The sequence below is a fragment of the Homo sapiens genome, chromosome 6, assembly GCF_000001405.40.
Source record: "Homo sapiens chromosome 6, GRCh38.p14 Primary Assembly".
NCBI classification, from domain to species: Eukaryota; Metazoa; Chordata; class Mammalia; order Primates; family Hominidae; genus Homo; species Homo sapiens.
The window spans coordinates 34382783-34401861 of NC_000006.12; the positions used below are offsets into that span (position 1 = coordinate 34382783).

Below are 19079 nucleotides of genomic sequence, written 5' to 3' on the forward strand. Positions count from 1 at the left end.
ACTGCATCACAGCACACCAACCTGGATGACAGAGCAAGACCCTGTCTCAAAAAAAAAAGGAAAGGCCGGGCGCGGTGGTTCTCACCTGTAATCCTAGCACTTTGGGAGGCCGAGGAGGGTGGATCACAAGGTCAGGAGTTCGAGACCAGCCTGGCTAAGGTGGTGAAACCCCTATCTCTACTAAAACTGCAAAAATTAGCTGGGTGCGGTGGCAGGCACCTGTAATCCCAGCTACTCGGGAGGCTGAGGCAGGAGAATCGTTTGAACCTGGGAGGCGGAGGTTGCAGTGAGCCAAGATGGCGCCATTGCACTCCAGCCTGGGTGACAGGGCAAGACTCCATCTCAAAAAAAAAAAAAAAAAGGAAAAAAGAAAAATCACAATCCTTCCTCCTTTTAAGAAAAGCATAAGCACTATGTCTGAGCTCATACTCCTTTTTATTCATCATTGCTAAGCTGCTCTTACAAAACACATCAGAAATATGTTAAATAACCAAGCCGAAGAAAAGATTTTCTAAGCAGTTCATAAAACTTTACTGTTTTATGAACAAAGAGATCAACTAATTGTATACAAAGGAAGTCTATTTAAGGGATCATTTCATTTTATGGTGTTTTCTTTTTGGAGCCAGGGTCTCTCTCACTCTGTTGCCCAGGCTGGAGTGCAGTGATGCAAACACAGCTCACCACATCCTAGACATCCCCAGCTCAAGCGATCCTCCCACGTAGGCCTCCCAAAATGCTGAGCAGTCTTATTTATCCATGTATTCCCAAGGTCTTACACAGACACTCCAAAAATGTGTGCTGAAGAAATGAATAAACAATTGTATTCCTGAACAAGGGCCCTTCCTTTCTGTACTAGGCTATGAAGATATAGATTGCTTCAGACACAGCACACAGTAGATGTGCAGCACTATTTTTATTGAGAAATGAGAATTAAAGCAGAAACAAAGAAGTAGGATTGGGGCAAAGACATAAAAAGAATGGAGACTGCAGTATGAATTCAGACCAGAATTCACACCTTGGGAAGGAGGCAAAAAATAACGTAATGGAAGACATGACTAACTGGTATTAGGCAAACAGAAGGGAAAGCAGGGGAAAAAAGCTTCCAGGAAAGATTTTGAGAAATGAGAAGCAGAAATGTCCAGTCATGACGGGATCAATGAACCCATCATGATCTTAGAGCAATGTAATATTGAACGGTGACCAAGATGTGTTACAAAAGGACTCCCAAACCACCTTGGGATCTGCTGGAAGCCCTTTGTCATGATTATTGCCTCTGGGATTGCTACCTGTGTCTTACTCTCTTCTCTAGAGCCTGCTGGAAGGTGCAGTCTGCAGAGACGTCAGTCCACCTGCTCCTCTGGGGCATTTTACAGACAAACAGGCCACCAGTCTCTGCCCACTGAAGAGCTCCAATGTCAATCATCTCTCCGTTCCAACCTGGTGAGCTGAAGGATCTGAGAAAATGTGAAGCAGCTCCCCTTTGCCAAGAGATATAGGGCTTCTAGTGGAAAAGTACAACAAACGAACCTAACAACTTAGGAACAGCTTCATCCTTTCTTTATTAAAACAGCTTTAAGGCACAGGGAAATCTAACTCACACAATCCTATTAGTAGTCATTTTTCTCCCTGGGTAAAAACAGACCCGTTAGGAGCAGCTTTAACTTTCCTAGGCACTGTGATGTCATTTGTTGTATGTTCTGTATCATTTGGCCTTTCTAAGAGTACAAACAAGCCCATCCCTGTCTCTCACTTCTCCTCACAGAGGCTCTAAAAAAGGAAAGGCTGGGGGAAGAGGGATAATCTCACTGGAAGTACTTTAGCAGGGCCAAAGTTGAATAATATGACAGATGAATATCATATTACCCAATTTTGGATTATAAAATCTTACTCAAGAAGTTACAGTCTTCCACACAGTGTATGATAAAGTATCAAGTAAAGGATACGGTTGATTAAAAAATATAAATGTAGGTTGGGCGTGGTGTCTCATGCATGTAATCCTAGCACTTTGGGAGGCTGAGGTGGGAGGATCGCTTGAGCTCAGGAGTTCAAAACCAGCCTGAGTAACATAGTGAGACCCTGTCTCCACACACACACAAAATAGCTGGGCAAGGTGGCAGGCACTTGTACTTCCATCTACTTGGGAGGCTGAGGTGGGAGGATCACTTGAGCCTGGGAGGTGGAAGCTGCAGTGACCTGAGATCGCATTACTGCATTCCAGCCTGGTCAACAGAGCAAGACCCTGCCTCCAAAAAAAAAAAAAAAACTCAAAACAAGATCTTGGCCCTAAGAACAAAGATTAGCAGATAAATATACATTTATATATACATACTTTATATATTACTAATTATATATTATGTGCAAAGAGGAAGCAAATGAAAATATTAAATAATCAGGCCAGATGTGATGGCTCATGCCTATAATCTCAACACTTTGGGAGGCCAAGAAGGGAGGATCACTTGAGCCAGGAGTTCCAGACCAGTCTGGGAAACATGAGACCTCATCTCTACAAAAAATAAAAAATATGGCCAGGCACAGTGGCTCATGCCTATAATCCCAGCACTTTGGGAGGCCGAGGCGGGCGGATCACCTGAGGTCGGGAGTTCGAGACCATATTACATATTATTAGCAAATAAATCTTTTATATGTATATAAACATGTAGTTATTTGGTAATCTTTGTAGGGCCAAGATCTTGTTTTGTTTTGTTTGTTTGAATTGTTAAGTTGTCTTTCTTTCATATGCCACATCCATAATCAATGACCTATGTTTTCCAGTCCTAGTTTTTATAAAGAACAAAAACCTAAAAACATTCATGAAGTAATCTATGTGCAGAGTCCTTCTAGACTTTTAAGATCCCCTCTCCAGTCTTCTCAGTTTGTTTGTCCATATAAGTGAGCAGTAATTTCTTTTTTTTTTTTTTTGAGACAGACTCTTACTCTGTCACCTAGGCTGGAGTGCAGTGGCGTGCTGTTGGCTCACTGCAACCTCCGTCTCCTGGGTTCAAGCAATTCTTGTGCCTCAGCCTCCCATGTAGCTGGGACTACAGGCTGCACACCACCGTGCCTGGCTAGTTTTGTATTTTCAGTAAAGAGGGGGTTTCACCATGTTGCCTAGGTTGGTCTCAAATTCCTGGGCTCATGTGATCCGCCCACCTTGGTCTCCCAAAGTGCTGGGATTATAGGCGTGAGCCACCATGCTGAGCCTTGTTCTTTTCTGAACTCAAAGTTCACTGGTTAAGTTGCACAATTACAATAACAAGTACAATGAACATAAACAGATAAAGGAATAGAGGTAACTAATTGTAATCACACAATTTGGCAGCTGGGAGGCCACCTGGTTGGGGTACACCAGACCCAGCAGCCTGCTGTGTAACAGCCAAGCATTCAGTGTACCAAGCTGGTTAAAGTGGTGGTTGGTTAAGAAACTGTATATCAGGTTCAAACTACTGTAATAAATGTTAGTTACCACAAATACCCAATTTAAAGATGTTATCAACATACCAATAACAATCAGTACAACTTTTTAAGTGGGAAGTTTTTTCCTGTTAATTTTTGTTTGTCAACAAGAAGAGAAGCCAGAAAAAGAAAAGGTAATCATTTTCATCATGCTGTTTGGTCTGTTTGTTCTTCCATCTCTCCCATTAGACTCTAAGCTCCCTGCATGTCTGTCTCCTTCATAACAGTATCACAGAACTTGGCACTCAATGAGTGTTCAATAAATTTGCTATGTTGACACATCCTAACCTGGATCAGAATTTCAGCCTCTCATTGCTGGTCTATAAATAAAGTTTTCTGGGGCTGGGGAAAAAAAAAACCTAGAATGATAGGTTTGGCTACCCATGATCTATTACCTTCTAATATAGTCATGGACTATATAACATTTCAGTCAACTACAGACCACATATACAAGAGTAGTCCCAAGAGATTATAATGGAGTTGAGAAATTCCTATCCCATCATAGCTGTGGTGTCACAGCACAATGCATTACTCATGTGTTTATGGTGAGTACACAATCAAACCTACTGTGCTGCCGGTCATATAAAAGTCTAGCACAGCTGAGCACGGTGGCTCATGCCTGTAATCCCAGCACTTAGGGAGGCTGAGGATGCAGATTGCCTTAGTCCAGGAGTTCAAGACCAGCCTGGGCAACATGCCGAAACCCTATCTCTACAAAAAAATACAAAAATTAGCCAGGCATGGTGGCATGTGCCTGGAGCCCCAGATACTTGTTGAGGTGGGAGGATCGCTTAAGCCCAGAAGGTCAAGGCTGCAGTGAGCTGTGATCACACCATTATACTCCAGCCTGGGCAACAGAGTAAGACCCTGTCTCAAAACAACAACAACAAAATGTAGCACATACAATTATGTGCAGTACATAATACTTGATAGTAAATGACTATTACTGGTTTCTGTATTTACTATACTGTACTTTTTATTGTTTAACTGTAGAGTGTATTCTATTTTTTTAAAAAGTTAATTGTAAAACAGTCTCAGAAGAAGGGATTGTTATCATAGGAGATGATAGCTCCACGCCTGTTACTCTCCTGAAGACCTCCCAGTGGGATAAGATGTGGAGGTGGAAGACAGTGATACTGATGATCCTGACCCTGTGTAGGCCTAGGTTAATGTGTGTTTGTGTCTTTGTTTTCAACCAAAGAAAAAGCTTAAAAAGTAAAATATGGGTAGCCAGAGGAACAAAAAGTAAAACAAACAAATACTAAATAATATTTTTAAATAAAGTTTCTAGAATAAAGATATAATGAAGAAAACATTAGCCAGGCATGGCGGCATACACCAGTTGTCCTAGCTGCTTGGGAGGCTGAGGTGGAAGGATCACTTGAGCCCAGGAATTCAAGACCAGCCTGGGGAACAGAGCAAGATCTCATCTCTTTTTAAAAAAAAAAAAAAAAAAAAAAAGTGATTTTAGTATGACAGGAAAGAAAGAGAAAAATATTGTTATATAGCTGTACAATGTGTTTTAAGCTAAGTATTACAAACGAGTCAGAATGTTAAAAAATGTAAAAGTTTATAAAGTAAAAAAATTACAGTAAGCTAAGGTTAATTTATTATCGAAGAAAAATAATTTTTTGATTTAGTGCAACCTAAGCTGTACAGTGTTTCTGTAGTGTACAGTAATGCCCTAGGCCTTCGCATTTACTCACCGCTCACTCACTGATGCACCCAGAGCAACTTCCAGTCATAATAAGTGTCCTGGTCAGGTGAACCATTTTTTATTTTTTGTACCGTATTTTTCCTGTACTTTGCTTGTTTAGATATGTTTAGATACACAAATACTACTGCATTACAATTGCCTATTTATTCAGTACAGTCACATGCTGTACAGTTTTGCAGCTTAGGAGCAATAGGCTATACCATATAGCCTACATGTGCAGTAGGCTATACCATCCAGGTATGTGTAAGTACATTCTATGATGTTTACACAACAACAAAATCACCTAATGATGCATTTCTCAGTACGTATCCCCAACGTTAAGCGACACATGGCTGTATTTTCATCTCTTTTTCTTCACATTCCATGTATGCTTCTTGACATTGCTTAAATTTATAAATCAAGGTCCTATTTATACTTATATTACTACTGTATTAATGCTAATAATATTCTGTAAACTATTCTATCTTGATTAAGGCCATTAGTGCCCATTAAAATTTTTTTTAATTGGGTTGAATGCCTTATTCGGTTGGAATTTTACATTCCCACAATGTGTGGCAGCTAATGCTTCTGGCACATCTACTGAGAACATAAAAGTTCTCCTGGAACTAACAAATTACTTCCCTTCCAACATAATTATATAATCTGAGAGTTGAAAAGCACCCTAGAGATTATTCTGTGGTCCAAAATCCCTCCCAATTAAGGAATCTCATCTAAAACTACTCAACTCTGTCTGCAAGAAGGGATGCTAATATTTAGATTCTCCATGACACAGCGCTGCAGCCATAGCAGGCTCTTTAATACATGCTTTTTGTTGTTTCTCATACATGTTTGTTGAACTGAACAAATCTAAAATGGACGTATTTCACTCATTTTATTTTTCTTCCCAGGCTTTAGCTGTAACACCCACTGAATCTGTAATTTAAAGCTTTGCATGATTCCTCGGCTCATTAGCCAACGTTCAAAAAGAAATTCAATAAAGGAAACTCAATGCATTAAAGAAACTCATTTTAACAGTTTAAAATTTTAAGCTCCTGGCCTGGCAAAGTGGCTCTTGCCTATAATCCCAGCATTTTGGGAGGCTGAGATGGGAGGATCTCTTGAGCCCAGGAGTTTGACAATAGCCTGGGCAACAAAGGGAGACCCTGTGATATGCTATGGCTCTGTGTCCCCACCCAAATCTCATCTCGATTTGTAATCACCACCTGTGGAGGGAGGGAACCTGTAATCCCTCCCATGTGTTGAGTGAGGGAGGTAACTGGATCATGGGGAGTTTCCCCCATGCGGTTCTCATGCTAGTGAATGCTCACGAAATCCAATGGTTTTACAAGTGTTTGGGAGTTCCTCCTTCCCTTCTCTCTCTCCTGCTGCCTTGTGAAGAAGGTTCTTACTTCCCCTTTGCCTTCTGCCATGATTGTAAGTTTCCTGAGGCTTCCCCAGCCATGTATAACTGTGAGTCAATTAAACCTCTTTCTTTATAAATTACTCAGTCTCAGGTATTTCTTTATAACAGTGTGAAAATGGACTAATACACCCTGTCTCTACATAAAATTTAAAAATCAACCAGATGTGGTGGCTTGTGCATGTAGTCCCAGCTACTTGGGAGGCTGAGACGGGAGGATTGCTTGAGCATAGGAGGTTGAGGCTGCAGTGAGCCATGATCACACCACTACACTCCAACCTGGGTGACACAGTAAGACCCTGTCTCAAAATAAATAAATAAATAAATAAAGGTCGGGCACAGTGGCTCACGCCTGTAATCCCAGCACTTTGGGCGGCCAACGCGGGTGGATCATGAGGTCAGGAGATTGAGACCATCCTGGCTAACACGGTAACAACCCATCTCTACTAAAAATACAAAAAAATTAGCCAGACGTGGTCGCGGGCACCTGTAGTCCCAGCTGCTCGGGAGGCTAAGGCAGGAGAATGGCGTGAATCCGGGAGGCGGAGCTTGCAGTGAGCCGAGATGGTGCCACTGCACTCCACCATGGGCGACAGAGCAAGACTCTGTCTCAAAAAAAAAAAAAAATACAGAAAACTAGCCAAGCATTATGGCAGGTGCCTGTAATCCCAGCTACTCGGGAGGCTGAGGCAGGGAGAACAGCTTGAACCCGGGAGGTGGAGGTTGCAATGAGCCGAGATCACGCCACTGCACTCCAGCCTGGGCGAAAGAGCGAGACTCCGTCTCAAAATAAATAAATAAATAAAAATAAGTAAATAAATAAAATTTTAAAAATAAAAATGCAAGCTCCTAGAATCGCCTGAACCTGGGAGGCAGAGGTTGCAGTGAGCCAAGATGGGGCCACTGCACTCCAGCCTGGGCGACATAGCAAGAGTCGGTCTCAAAAAAAAAAAAGAAAAAAAGTAAGCTCCTAGAAGGCAAGTCCTATGCCTGGTCTGACTTGTGAGATGCCGTGAGGTAGCCTAAACAGACAAGTAAGCTTTCAACATTAATGTTGCTAATGTCAGTGCATAACAAAACATTTAACAGAAAATGGAAAATTAAGCCGTTGCTAGTTTGCTTATGATCTATAGTTTTCAATTTATCAAAAATACATTTTCTATTTCTAGTATGATTTATTATTATTATTTTTTTTTATATTTAGAGATGGGGATCTGTGTTGGCCAGGTTGGTCTCGAACTCTTGGCCTCACCACCTTGGTCTCCTGAAGTGCTAGGATTACAGGCGTGAGCCACCACGCCCGGCCTGGTGTGATTTTTTTAAAACAAACAGTCTTGCATCATTCGTACAACTAAATTATACTTATAATTGGGGTGCTCACAGATTTATGCATACTAGTGTAGTAAGACATGCTATTATGCTAATTAGTTTTCCCTTCAGTTAAGAGCCTGTGATCCCATCTGATTTCCCATAACATGATATGATAATGAGGAGAATAAAGGCTCTGGAGCAATAAGCACCACCAATAATTTTACTTTACTCAAATATGCATTCCAAAACAGTATATAATTTACAGCATGGCCCTGGTTAGCTATTACAATGCATCTGTTTTGGGGACTTTTACAATATATGGTAGGATACAAAGCATACGTTTCCAAATCTCCTTTCGTTCTGTTTTGCTGAAAGGGAGCACACATGGGATCCCTTAACAACACAATTCACTAACTAATTTTCTTCAGGCAGTAATTCAAATTCCCACTTCCTCCTAAATACCTCTGGACAGCAACTCCTGGCAATCCATCTGTCTCTTTCGCCACAGCTTCTTTTCATAACTAACGGGTCAAGTTCCTTTCCCCATTTCGACACTGCACTGTACTGCGGCCCTGCCACCATAGCCCACTGCTGAATCCAATATAACATATTGGATTTCACTGTCCTTCATTGTTTCCAGTTTAACTGCCATTTTACCACCATGCACACGAGAAATGCATTCCCACAGGCATCTTATGAATTTCCAAAGCAGCTACTCTTTTGTGGATTTACAAAACATGTGCTTCTCTGAATTCCCTTCATCACCACAGAAACGGCTTTGGGAAGCCGAGATTTTTTTTTAAAGTACCCTACCTATTATAAAAAGAAACTGATTCTAAAACATTATTTTCCTAGCTAATTTAATCCTAAGAGTCTTCCCACAAGGCAGTGGAGGAACGTCAGGGCAAAAATGTTAAATACCGCTTTTGGTCTTCCCAATTAACATGAAACATTTTCAGCACACAAAGATTATTATATCAAATGTCTTTTCTTCTCAGACTACACCATAAAGGCTACCCAGCGCACTGTAAAATAAACAGCTGGCTATGGCTTATGCACAACGCCCTAAATCTTCCGAAGACACCCCACCCCCACCCCTCAGCTTTGGGCTCACAGACATATAATCCCTCGGCAAACCCCAAACCTGCCAATGAAGTGCACTATTTCTCTGCCACAAAGGCCGGCCCGCGCCTCGTGCACGCCGGCCTCCGCACACATGTGCCTGGCTGACAACTGCGGAGCGGCCCTTCCAGGATCAAAGCCGTTGGCCTGGACCGAAAGCCGCACTCTTCCCAGCCCACTGCCTTCTCCCGCGGCCGCTCTCCCCGGTAACAGGCGGCGGAACCGAAGCGCTCCGGCCACAAGCCGGCTACCCCCTCCGCCCGGCGCGCCCTGTGCAGCCGCACTCAAACCCGCTTCCCCTCAGCCCCAACGTCCTTTCTCCTTCCCCCTTTTTTCGCCTCAGGAAATTCCATCGGAACTTCATTCCGCCCGAGCGGGGCGGCCCTGGCACACCCTCCTCCGGCGGCCGCGCCCCTCGCGCCTCCACCCGAAGGGGCCGGAGACCCGGCGACCCCGGCCCGCCCAGCCTGCCGCCTCACCTCCTCCTCGCTCTCGCTGCGGAAACACAGGCATGCGGCCCGCTTCTTGTAGCCGTCGCCGTCGTAGGTGCGGGTCTGGTTCGACTTGAGCTTCATCATCCTCCGGGCCCGGGTGGGGGTGCGGTGCGGGTCGCAGGAGTCGAGGGGTGGGGAGCCCGCTCTGGACGGCCGCGTGCGCGCGCGCCCCCGGCTCGGCCAAGGGAAGCAGGGAGGGGGAGCTTCTCCGCTACACGGCTCCGCCGCTGGCCCGCCGCGGCCGCCTCATTCCCCCAGGCCCAGGTCCCGCGCCGCCGCTGCCACCGTCACGGCTGCCGTCTCCGCTGCCGCCAGGGCCGCCGCCCCCTCTGCCGCCGCCACCCCCGACGACGACCGCGCCGCCATCTTGGGCGCGATGCGTCAGCGGCGTAAGGCTGCACCGGCCTGCGGGACGGCCGCGCGCTCGCAGCGCAGGCCGCGTTCGCGAATCGCGCCCTCCCAGTTCGCGCGGTGGAAACCAGCATCTGAAAGGAGAGGGACGCGCGACTCCAGGCGACCGCTACGCCGGCAGCGTAGGCGTAGAACTGGTGGGGTGCGCGGAGGAAGCCGGGGGAGATAAGAACAGCGGCGCAGGACGCCTAGCGGCCGGAGCGGAGACCGAGCGGTCCAGCCGCGCAAGTCTGCGGATGGGGAAGCGGGGACTTGGCCAAGGTCACGCCGCGTCTCCGCGGCCGAGGATGAACCAAGGTCACGCCACCCGCCCCTGGGCCCTGCCGGTCGGTCTCGAAGGGGTTGAGGGGGAAGGTTTGTTGGAAAAAGGAGGATGTAGTTAAAGGCAACGGAAGCTGCAGCCTGAGACATCTGGGATTTGGAACTGCAAGGAAACGGCGCATGGGAGGCGTGTGCACTTTGCGTTGATAGCCTGAACCTCAGGATGTCTTAGGGGCTGGTGCATGTCGCCCATTACAAAGAACAAATATTTATTCTGCAATCTTTTATTGATGCTAAAGGTAATTGCTTCCTCTTATGGTAAACAAGAGGGCCAGAAAGGAACACGCGCGCGTGCGTGCGTGTGTACACACATAATGTAAATCATAAAACATCATCGTTTCTGGCAATAAATGAGGAGTGTGTGTTGTGGATGTCAAACAGATTCTCCAGGAAAAGATATACAGACAGAAGCTCTCCAGAAAGGAAAACTGGTGTATGACCTGTGAATGTTCTCAGCAACCCAGAACAAACCAAGTACCATGCAGATGCCCTAAACGTACCAAAAATCCTGTGCAGTATCTGTCTGTGAGTTGTTTAATACCCTTTTTTGTTTTTTAAATTTTTTTATTTAATTTTTTAAAATTTTTTTATTTAACATTTTGTTGCCCGGGCTGGTCCGGAATTCCTGGCCTCGAAGCTATCCACCCTCGGCCTCCCAAAGCACTGGGATTACTGGTGTGAGCCACAGCAGCCGGCTAATTCCCCTTTTTGAATTTGCTTGTATTTAGCATAGTCAAAAAGATCTGGATTTGAAAGCAAATACACCTTGGTTGTAACCTCAATTACATTTTTTTTAATGCTCATACCACCCGATTACATCATATTTTAACTTCCGCAAAATAGAGACCTACTTGGCCCTGGCACATAGCAAGCACTCAGGGCACACCAGATGCTATTAATAGTTTGTTTGCCTATTAAACTTTCCTCTCTTCAAGAAAAGAAAATTAGAGTTCAGTAAATGTTGAATGAATAGATAGATGGAGGTTTTCTTTTGGTTTCTAATTCCTTACCCTGACTTTTTATGGGCATGTTTTTGTTTGTTTGGGGTTTTTTGTTTGATTGATTGTTTTTTGGAGACAGGGTCTTGCTGTGTCAATTAAGGTGGAGTGCAGTGGCATAATCTCAGCCAGCTCAACTGCAGCCTAGACCTCCTGGGCTCAAGCGATGCTCCCACCTCAGCCTCCCAAGTAACTGGGACCACAGGCGCCTGTCATGCAGCCTGGAGTGCTACCACGTCCAGCCAACTTTTGTATGTTTTTGTAGAGACAGGGTTTCACCATGTTGCCCAGGCTGGCCTCGAACTCCTGGGCTCAAGCAGTCCTTCTGCCTCAGCCTCCCAAAGTACTGGGGTTACAGGCATAAGCCACTGCTCCCAGCCTATGGGCATGTTTAGTTTCAAGAGCCCACAAGATTACTCCCAGATCCCTTGACTGAGTAATAATTACTTTGTCTTTGTTCAGGGAGCATTAACCAAGGGATTCTGTCCTTTCCTTGAAGATAATGGGTAAGTAGTACATTTAAATTTGTTTTAAAAAATTATACTCGGCCGGGCGCAGTGGCTCAAGCCTGTAATCCCAGCACTCTGGGAGGCCAAGGTGGGCAGATCATCTGAGGTCAGGAGTTCGAGACCAGCCTGACCAACACAGTGAAACCCCGTGTCTACTAAAAATACAAAAATTAGCCGGGCGTGGTGGTGCGTGCCTGTAATCCCAGCCGCTCAGGAAGCTGAGACAGGAGAATCGCTTGAACCCGGGAGGGAGAGGTTGCAGTGAGCTGAGATCGTGCCACTGCACTCCAGCCTGGTGGACGGTGTGAGACTCCATCTCAAAAAAAAAAAAAAAAAAAAAAGAACATCTGAAAGAACATCTGTCAACATAGACCATAAGCATGTCCATAAAATAAGCTTCAATAAATGTTAAAGGACTGAAATTGCATAGAATATGTTCATGGGGAAAAGGACTTAAATTAGAAAACACCATAATAGGATATCTAGAAAAGGCTCAAATATTTGTAAATTAAATAATCTACTTCTAAGTAACCCATGAAACAAAAGTCACAAAAGATAAAATGTTTCTAACTGATATCAGTATTTATGAGGCTTAACTAAAGGAGGCTGGGCGCAATGGCTCACACCTGTAGTCCCAGCACTTTGGGAGGCTGAGAGGGGCAGATTGCGTGAGTCCAGGAGTTGGAGACCAGCCTGGACAACATGGTGAAACCCCATCGCTGCAAAAAAAAAAAAAAAAAGCAGTGCTTAGAAGGATATAAATAGATTCAACTAGTATTAGAAAGGAGGAAAAGCTTAAAATCAATATTATAAATTTCCACCTTAAGATGCAAGAAAAGGCTGAGTGCAATGGCTCACACCTGTAATCCTAGCACTTTAGGAGGCTGAGACACGTAGACCACTTGAGCCCAGGAGTTTGAGACCAGCCTAGGCAACATAGTGAAACCCCGTTTCTATGAAAAATACAAAACTTAGCTGGGTATGGTGGCACCAGTAGTCCCAGCTACTCAGGAAGCTGAGGTAGGAGGATCACTTGAGCCTGAGAGGCAGAGGTTGCAATGAGCCAAGATCACACCACTGCACTCCAGCCTGGGAAATAGAGCAAGACCCTATCTCAAAACAAACTAATAAATAAAATAAGCTAGAAAAAAGTAAACCCAAATTAAGTAGGGGAAGAAGTTAATAAAAGAAGAAATCAATGAAATATAAATCAAACAATAGAAACAACAAAGCCAAAAGTTGTTTCTTTGAAAAGATTAATTGTAAAAAATAAAAATAGCCAAGCATGGTGGTGTGCACTTGTAGTCCCAACTACTTGGGAGGCTGAGGTGGGAGGAGAGCTTGAGCCCTGGAAGCAGAGGTTGCAGTGAGCCAAGATTGCACCACTACACTCCAACCTGGGCAACAGAGCAAGACCCTATCTCAAAAATAATAGTAATATAATAATAATAATATACTGACAAATGTATCATATTAATGTAAGATGTCAACAATAAGGAAAACTGGGTGTGGAGCACATGGGAACTCTACTATCTTCACAACTTTTCTATAGACCTAAAGCTATTCTAAAATAAGTCTAATCAAAAAAACTTGCCATAAAGAAAATTCCAGTGCCAGGTGGTAGCATTGGTGAAATCTATCAAAAACCCAAGAAAGAAGGGATACAAATTCTACACAAGCTTTTTCAGAAAACAGAGGAGGAAAGAATACTTTAAACTTATTTTATGAAGCTGAAATAATTATGATATGAAAATCTGATAATTACAAGAAAAAAGTTACAGACCTGTATCCTTCATGAACACACACACACACACACACACACAAATCATGAAGAACATATCAATAAATAGAATCCAGCAATATATACAGTGAAATATATTATGACCAAAAATTTAATACAAGAATATAAAGTTAGTTTAACTTTACAAAAATCAGTGAAATAAACCACATCAACATCATAAAAGAGAACAACTATATGATTGTCTTGATCCTAGAAAAGCACTTGACTTTTAAATAAAATTATTATTTCACAGTCAATACTCTCAGCAAGCTAGGAATAGAAGCAAACATTCACCACCTGATAAAGGACACCTATGAACAACAGGTGAAATGGTGAAAGAATAAATGTTTTCCCATTAAGATCAAAAGCAAGGCAAGAATATCTCCTCTCACTGCTATTATTAAGTATTGTATTAGAGATCCTAGCTAGTGAAATAAGACATGAAAAATAAATAGAAGGCACTGATCTCATGGGCCACTCCTGAGTCCTATGGCACCCTCTGGAGTCAGAGGTGAAATAATCCCTCCAGAACCACATGGACTAATGACAAGGAAAGAGTGATTCCCTAAGGAAAAATCAGGGCAGCCGCCGCCGCCCGACCGCCGGGAGGATGGAGTTCAGCTGGCAGCGGAGCTGTCTCAGTCTTTGCCGCCGCGCCGGCGAGCGCCGCCCGGGAGGCAGCGGCTGGAGGAGCGGACGGGCCCCGCGGGGCCCGAGGGCAAGGAGCAGCCGCCTGCCTTGGCCTCCCAAAGTGCCGAAATTGCAGCCTCTGCCCGGCCGCCACCCCGTCTGGGAAGTGAGGAGTGTCTCTGCCTGGCCGCCCATCGTCTGGGATGTGAGGAGCCCCTCTGCCTGGCTGCCCAGTCTGGAAAGTGAGGAGCATCTCCGCCCGGCCGCCATCCCATCTAGGAAGTGAGGAGTGCCTCTTCCCAGCCGCCATCACATCTAGGAAGTGAGGAGCGTCTCTGCCCGGCCGCCCATCGTCTGAGATGTGGGGAGCGCCTCTGCCCCGCCGCCCCATCTGGGATGTGAGGAGCGCCTCTGCCCGGCCGAGACCCCGTCTGGGAGGTGAGGAGCGTCTCTGCCCGGCCGCCCCGTCTGAGAAGTGAGGAGACCCTCTGCCTGGCAACCACCCCGTCTGAGAAGTGAGGAGCCCCTCCGCCCGGCAGCTGCCCCGTCTGAGAAGTGAGGAGCCTCTCCGCCCGGCAGCCACCCCATCTGGGAAGTGAGGAGCGTCTCCGCCCGGCAGCCACCCCGTCCGGGAGGGAGGTGGGGGGGGTCAGCCCCCCGCCCGGCCAGCCGCCCCATCCGGGAGGGAGGTGGGGGGGTCAGCCCCCCGCCCGGCCAGCCGTGCCGTCCGGGAGGGAGGTGGGGGGGTCAGCCCCCCGCCCGGCCAGCCGCCCCGTCCGGGAGGTGAGGGGCGCCTCTGCCCGGCCGCCCCTACTGGGAAGTGAGGAGCCCCTCAGCCCGGCCAGCCACCCCATCCGGGAGGGAGATGGGGGGGTCAGCCCCCCGCCCGGCCAGCCGCCCCGTCCGGGAGGTGAGGGGCGCCTCTGCCCGGCCGCCCCTACTGGGAAGTGAGGAGCCCCTCAGCCCGGCCAGCCACCCCATCCGGGAGGGAGGTGGGGGGGTCAGCCCCCCGCCTGGCCAGCCGCCCCGTCCGGGAGGGAGGTGGGGGGGTCAGCCCTCCACCCGGCCAGCCGCCCCGTCTGGGAGGTGAGGGGCGCCTCTGCCCAGCCGCCCCTACTGGGAAGTGAGGAGCCCCTCTGCCCGGCCAGCCGCCCCGTCCGGGAGGGAGGTTGGGGGGTCAGCCCCCCGCCCGGCCAGCCGCCCTGTCCGGGAGGGAGGTGGGGGGGTCAGCCCTCTGCCCGGCCAGCCGCCCCGTCTGGGAGGTGAGGGGCGCCTCTGCCCGGCCGCCCCTACTGGCAAGTGAGGAGCCCCTCTGCCCGGCCAGCTGCCCCGTCCGGGAGGGAGGTGGGGGTGTCAGCCCCCTGCCCGGCCAGCCGCCCCGTCCGGGAGGGAGGTGGGGGGGGTCAGCCCCCCTGCCCGGCCAGCCGCCCCGTCCGGGAGGGAGGTGGGGGGGGTCAGCCCCCCTGCCCGGCCGGCCGCCCCGTCCGGGGGGTGAGGGGCACCTCTGCCCGGCCGCCCCTACTGGGAAGTGAGGAGCCCCTCTGCCCGGCCAGCCGCCCCGTCCGGGAGGGAGGTTGGGGGGTCGGCCCCCCGCCCGGCCAGCCGCCCCGTCCGGGAGGTGGGGGGCGCCTCTGCCCGGCCGCCCCTACTGGGAAATGAGGAGCCCCTCTGCCCGGCCACCACCCCGTCTGGGAGGTGTGCCCAACGGCTCATTGAGAACGGGCCAGGATGACAATGGCGGCTTTGTGGAATAGAAAGGCGGGAAGGGTGGGGAAAAGATTGAGAAATCGGATGGTTGCCGTGTCTGTGTGGAAGGAAGTAGACATGGGAGACTTTTCATTTTGTTCTGCACTAAGAAAAATTCCTCTGCCTTGGGATCCTGTTGATCTGTGACCTTACCCCCAACCCGGTGCTCTCTGAAACATGTGCTGTGTCCACTCAGGGTTAAATGGATTAAGGGCGGTGCAAGATGTGCTTTGTTAAACAGATGCTTGAAGGCAGCATGCTCGTTAAGAGTCATCACCAATCCCTAATCTCAAGTAATCAGGGACACAAACACTGCGGAAGGCTGCAGGGTCCTCTGCCTAGGAAAACCAGAGACCTTTGTTCACTTGTTTATCTGCTGACCTTCCCTCCACTATTGTCCCATGACCCTGCCAAATCCCCCTCTGTGAGAAACACCCAAGAATTATCAATAAAAAAATAAATTAAAAAAAAAAAAGAAAAATAAATAGAAAGCATAAAGACTAGCAAAGAAGTAAAATTGTTGCTATTCACAACCTATTTTTTATTTTTATTTATTTATTTATTTATTTTTGAGACAGAATCTCACTCCATCAACCAGTCTGGAATGCAGTGGCCCAATCTTGGTTCACTGCAGCCTCCACCTCCCAAGTTCAAGCGATTCTCCTTTCTCAGCCTTCCAAGTAGCTGGGACACAGGCGTGCACCACTGCACCCAGCTAATTTTTGTAGTTTTAGTAGAGAAGGGGTTTCACCATGTTGGGCAGGCTGGTCTCAAACTCCTGACCTCCGGTGACCCACCTGCCTCAGCCTCCCAAAGTGCTGAGATTCAGGAATGAGCCACCGTGCCCGGCCAACAACCTATTTTTTAAGTAGAAAATCCAAAGGCAGGTACTAGCCAAATACCCAAAATAGTAGTATTAATAAGTGAAATTAGGCTGGGCGCAGTGGCTCATGCCTGTAATACCAGCACTTTGGGAGGCCAAGGTGAATGGATCATCTGAGGTCAGGAGTTTGAGAACAGCCTGGCCAACATGGTGAAACCCTGTCTCTACTAAAACTACAAAAAGTAACCAGGCGTGGTGGTGGGCACCTGTAATCCCAGCTACTCGGGAGGCTGAGACAGGAGAATGGCTTGAACCTGGGAGGTGGAGGTTGCAGTGAGCTGAGATCATGCCACTGGACTCCAGCCTGGGTGACAGAGCCAGACACTTTTTTTTTTTTTTTTTTTTGAAATGGAGTTTTGCTCTTATTGCCCAGGCTGGAGCGCAATGGCATGATCTTGACTCACTGCAACCTCTGCCTCCCGGGTCCAAGTGATTCTCCTGCCTCAACCTCCCAAGTAGCTGGGATTACAGGCAACCACCACCACACCTGGCTAATTTTTGTATTTTTAGTAGAGACGGGGTTTCACCATGTTCGCCAGGCTGGTGTTGAACTCCTGACCTCAGGTGATCTGCCTGCCTCGGCCTCCCAAAGTGCTGGGATTACAAGCATAAGCCACCATGCCTGGCCAGATCTTACACAATTCTTGTTAGGTTTACTCCTAGGTATTTGATATTTTTTGATACTATTATAAATAGCATTCTGTTTTAAATTTAATTTTGCAATTGTTTGTTGCTAGTGTATACAAATATACCTTATTTTTATGTATGACTTTGAGTCCTTTCACCTTAACTTCTTTTTTTTTTTTGAGATGGCATTTCGCTCTTGTCCCCCAAGCTGGAGTGCAATGGCACAATCTTGGCTCACTGCAACCTCTGCCTCTGGGTTCAAGCAATTCTCCTGTCTCAGCCTCCTGAGTAGCTGGGATTACAGGCATGCACCACCATGCCCAGCTAATTTTTTTTTTTTTTTTTTTTGAGATGGAGTCTCGCTCTGTTGCCCAGGCTGGAGTGCAGTGGCGCGATCTCAGCTCACTGCAAGCTGCACCTCCCAGGTTCATGCCATTCTCCTGCCTCAGCCTCCCGAGTAGCTGGGATTACAGGCACCTGCCACCATGCCCGGCTAATTTTTTTGTATTTTTTAGTAGAGACGGGGTTTCACCGTGTTAGCCAGGATGGTCTCAATCTCCTGACCTCGTGATCCGCCCATCTCGGCCTCCCAAATTGCTGGGATTACAGGTGTGAGCCACCGCGCCTAGCCAATTTTGTTATTTTTAATAGAGACGGGGGGTTTCGCCATGTTGGTCAGGCTGGTCTCAAACTCCCAACCTCAGGTGATCTGCCCACCTCAGCCTCCCAAGGTGCTGGGATTACAGGCATGAGCCACCACGCCTGGCCTAATTTTTTGTATTTTTAGTAGAGATGGGGTTTCCGTATGTTGCCCAGGCTGGTCTCAAACTCCTGACCTCAGGTGATCCACCCACCTCGGCCTCCCAAAGTGCTGGGATTACAGGCGTGAGCCACCGTGCCCACCTGACTCTGTCTCAAAAGAAAAAAAAAAGGCTGGGCACGGTGGCTCATGCCTGTAATTCCAGCACTTTGGGAGGCCAAGGTGGGCTCATGCCTGTAATCCCAGCACTTGAGGTCAGGAGTTCGAGAGCAGCCTAGCCAAAATGGTGAAACCCTATCTCTACTAAAAATACAAAAATTAGCCGGGCATGGTGGTGGGCGCCTGTAATCCCAGCCACTCGGGAGGCTGAGGCTGGAGAATCGCTTGAACCCAGGAGGCGGAGGTTGCAGTGAGTGGAGATTGTGCCGTAGCACTCCAGCCTGGGCGACGAGAGTGAAATTCCTTCTCAAAAAAAAAAAAAAAAAAAAAAAAAAGGCACTTTGGGAGGCCAAGGCAGACAGATCACCTGAGGTCAGGAGTTCGACACCAGCCTGGCTAACATGGTGAAAACCCGTCTCTACTAAAACTACAAAAATTAGCCACACATGGTGGTGGGCGCCTGTAATCCCAGCTACTTGGGAAGCTGAGGCAGGAGAATTGCTTGGACCCAAGAGGCAGAGATTGCAGTGAGCCGAGATGCCATTGTACTCCAGCCTAGTCAACAAAAGCAAAACTCCCATCTCAAAAAAAAAATTTAGAAAGGCCCAGCACTTTAGGAGGCCGAGGCGGGCAGATCATGAGGTCAGGAGATGGAGACCATCCTGGCTAACACGGTGAAACCCGTCTCTACTAAAAATACAAAAAAAAAAAAAAATAGCTGGGCATGGTGGCGGTCACCTGTAGTCCCAGCTACTTGGG

The 19079-nt window shown here is 47.5% G+C and overlaps 2 protein-coding genes across 2 annotated transcripts in view, besides 3 other annotated features; both read right to left on the reverse strand.

Moving 5' to 3' along the window:
* Nucleotides 1–9887, reverse strand: part of NUDT3 (nudix hydrolase 3) — a 112991-nt gene extending 103104 nt beyond the window's left edge. Inside the window, exon 1 of the mRNA NM_006703.4 lies at nucleotides 9482–9887. Within this exon, the coding sequence (NP_006694.1) occupies nucleotides 9482–9580 (99 nt within the window). The 5' untranslated portion in view covers nucleotides 9581–9887. The remainder of the gene's footprint in view (nucleotides 1–9481) is intronic.
* RPS10-NUDT3 (RPS10-NUDT3 readthrough) overlaps nucleotides 1–19079 on the reverse strand; it is a 138876-nt gene that overhangs the window by 95589 nt on the left and 24208 nt on the right. The window lies entirely within an intron of this gene.
* Nucleotides 8885–8964: a silencer, noted in NCBI's record as "silent region_17073". NCBI's record gives its function as "represses an Ori minimal core promoter by ATAC-STARR-seq in GM12878 lymphoblastoid cells {active_cell/tissue: GM12878}" and the evidence as "EXISTENCE:reporter gene assay evidence [ECO:0000049][PMID:35858748]".
* Nucleotides 9285–9484: a silencer, noted in NCBI's record as "silent region_17074". NCBI's record gives its function as "represses an Ori minimal core promoter by ATAC-STARR-seq in GM12878 lymphoblastoid cells {active_cell/tissue: GM12878}" and the evidence as "EXISTENCE:reporter gene assay evidence [ECO:0000049][PMID:35858748]".
* Nucleotides 9495–9904: a silencer, noted in NCBI's record as "silent region_17075". NCBI's record gives its function as "represses an Ori minimal core promoter by ATAC-STARR-seq in GM12878 lymphoblastoid cells {active_cell/tissue: GM12878}" and the evidence as "EXISTENCE:reporter gene assay evidence [ECO:0000049][PMID:35858748]".